Source organism: Homo sapiens, chromosome 3 (genome assembly GCF_000001405.40).
Source record: "Homo sapiens chromosome 3, GRCh38.p14 Primary Assembly".
Lineage (NCBI taxonomy): Eukaryota > Metazoa > Chordata > Mammalia > Primates > Hominidae > Homo > Homo sapiens.
The window spans coordinates 147,296,393-147,299,954 of NC_000003.12; positions in this window are offsets into that span (position 1 = coordinate 147,296,393).

The window sequence follows — 3,562 nt, forward strand, 5'->3', positions numbered from 1 at the left end:
TGTGTAATGTGAACCTTCTTAGTCAAAATGTCTTCCCTACATTAATTTTCTGCTAATTATTTGCCATTGAGGCAAAACAAAGAAGGCTCAACATTGTTCTTTGGTACCTTATATTTATATATAAGGAATATAATTCTTTCTTATGTTTGAATCGTGCTTTACAATTGACAGTAAGTTCCTATTTGTGATTTCATCTTGTCCATGTGTGAATGTGTATAGCAAGTATTATTAGTATCTCCATTTCATTGATAAATAAGTTTCGTTTCTTGTCCAAGATTAATGCATTAAGATGATTAACTCATTTGCCAGGTACAACAGCATAATATTTCAATATATAGTAGCGTGCCAATAGGTCAAGGAAAAACTTCCGTGTATTTGTAGATTTGGATGGCCAATTTTAATGCACTATATTTCTTAAATGTCCCAGAGGAACTAATATCAATCACTAACAGTGTTTAAAGTCTTTTTAAAATGACCTGTAACATACATCTTTTTTTAAATTTCTAAAAGAAAAAAATTATTCAATAAGGCATGGCCATTCTTAGTAGGGTGAATAATAGCTATAAATATATCTACATACTATTTTAATATTTAATATTTGTGACCTATAGTTTTATATTCAAGAGAAATATTTAGTCTCTTTCTAAATAAATGTTGATCTTAAAAATAAGTGGAGAAAAATATAAAATGTAAATTTCTATTTTAAAATTACATTGAGGTTTTATTCCTTGTCTTTCTAAATTTTGAAGTTAATACATTTTATACTGTGTTTTGAAGTCTTGGCATATTTCTTTACAAGGATTTTTTTTAATAACATATAAGAAAGTATTGCTAAATCTAAAAACCCAGCACCTGAGTTTTAAAGTCAGCTAAAAAATATACCGATTAATTTAAGTAAGTAATTTTACATTTCAAGGTCTTGATTTCTGCAGCTTTTACATTAAATAATTAGGATATACAAATTCTAAGTGCAATAGCCAGCTCCAAAATTTATACAAATGTACAAGTAGGCTTACTTTTTTTCAAAGGTTTTTTTTTTCCTTTTCCAAAGGAAAAAACAAAGGATTGCTGCTTTTCTGTATTTATTACCTTAATCAATCCTTCCCCAAAAAGGAAATTGTCATATTATTTAACTCTTAATCAAATTTTGAAAATTAGTACACACAAAAATCAGTAATGGGAGAATAGTAAAATATCTGAAAGTATGTTTTAAAATGTTAACATTTAGCATACAGAGGAGGGAGTTTCCACCACAAAAATATTTAATTTCATTTTAATAAACACGGGAAATATTCAAATATTATTTATCTTAATATAAAATACCTATATTCAAATCTTATTTATTTTAACATAAAATATCTTGCTATGCTAATCATCTTGGTATCATAAAATGCAATATTTATTTTAAAATATAATATGAGAATATATAAAATTATTTTTTAAAGGTGGTCATTGTTGCTACATATACCAAAGCAGAGCTTGAGACCAGCACTGGCTTGTGGTTGTAGTCTCCGTCCTGTAGGAGACGTTCAGGATATGGCACCATAGCAGCGCATTGAAGCCCTGGCTGTGAGTTCACTGACTAAAAAGCCTGACATGGCATTAATTTATTACCAATCTGGGGGCTTTTCTTCCCCTTACTCTTTTTTTTTCAGGCATGTCTTTAACCGAACATTTAATTTGTTTAGTTGCTGTGATTATGCTTTGGTCACATTTGGCAATGGGAACGATCTGGAAAGCTTAGAGGGAATACATTATGGTGCCATAAATTTGAGATGGAACTATGTTTTTGTATTTCTGCCAGGAATATCAGACAGCAAGTTACTGTTTGAAAATCTGCTTTTTCAGTCTTCTCTGCTAATACAGGGGTGGGTGGTCCCAAGGTCATCTCATTCCATCCTCAAAAAGACAAACACTATTCCTGATGTGTCCTGCTTCTGTCTTTCCTCACGACCAAAAGGAAGAGATAGGATTCGAGTTCAAGGTTAGGAAGATATTCTATTACTGAATTGATTTTATAAATAAACTTGGAAGTTTTGTTTTTGTTTCCTCTTGCACCAACACAGATTTATCATCCCAGCTTTTTCTATTTAGAAACTCCGCTGCATAAGTTGCACATTCCACACCTGAAGTGGGAGGCCCACATTCTCCCCGCCCTAGACCGTGAAGAATGTGTTCCTGATCTGCATCTCATCCTGGCTTCCTGCAAGATAAAGAGGGATTCAGACATAAAGACTGGAAATTCCCATGAAGAGACAAAAACAAATGATGTGGTTCAAAGAAGTTGTTACAAGAAGAGATGCATTCCTGATGTTGTGCAAATGATTGTGAGCATTCTCTATCCTGCAGAAGTTTCCTAAGAGCAGTTACGTTTGCCAATTCAGTGTCTCCATGAGTTATCTGACTCACAAGTGTTTATTGTGAAAAGATATGTTGCCTGGCAACAGCTTTAACGTGGAGCAACTGACTTTTCTGCACTTCTAAAAAGATGTTTTATTCATTAGTTGCCTTCCTTTGCTTATTTGTATGGGTACACCCTCCCCTTCTGTATCAAATTCCACTTTCTGGTTGTGAATATCTCCCTGTGAGTCTATGCTAACCGTGCCATTGCTCGGCGTTTATACTTATCCACATTTGTATGATAAATACACAATGAAATGACTGAGAGGGCCATATCCTGCTATATGGGGAACAAGGAGCCATCCTTGAGAACTACACTAGGTTATATCAAAGATGCTCTTAAAACAGGAAACCAAAAACTACATGTTCTCACTTATAAGTGAGAGCTAAATATTGATTACTCATGAACATAAAGATGGCAACAATAGACATTGGAGACTACTAGAAAAGGAAGGGAGGAGTGGGGAAAGGGTTGAAAAACTATCAGGTACTATGCTCTCTACCTGGGTGATGGGATTGATCATACTCCAAACTTCAGCATCATGCAATATACCCATGTAACAAACATGCACAGGTAACCCCTGAATCTAAAATCAAAGTTGGAATTTTTAAAAATAAAAAGATACCCTTAGTATTTAAAGGTATTTTCTAAAATTCAGGCATTTATAGGTTGAGAGGGCTGTGATCAGTTCACTACTGGATTATATTCCAAATTTCTACTCATAACAATGAGCTTTGGGAATATGGAAAAAACATCAAATAATAGCCAATGAGGTGTTTTAGACTTCACTCAGCTATAAGCATTATTTTACCCATATTGGCATTATAGCCAACCCTTTTGTATCTCCTCCCTGTCCTCAAATTACAAAAGCAAGCTTGTCATTGAACCTACAGATCTAAAGTCTGAAAGAGCAACTCAGCCACCTAGGGAATGAATTAGACATTTGAGTCACAATCGTAAAATTTCCATCCTGAGATTATTTTGTCCAAGCCTTTTTTTTAAAAAGGAGACTAGAATCCCAGAACAGTTATAGCACTCTGCTGAAGTCACACAAGTGCTTAGTAACTCAAGTCGCAAAAGCATGGTCCCATGCTACACTTGCAACAACATAATGAGATCATCCTCCTTGTGATTTACCATCAGATATGAAAATATTGTTTC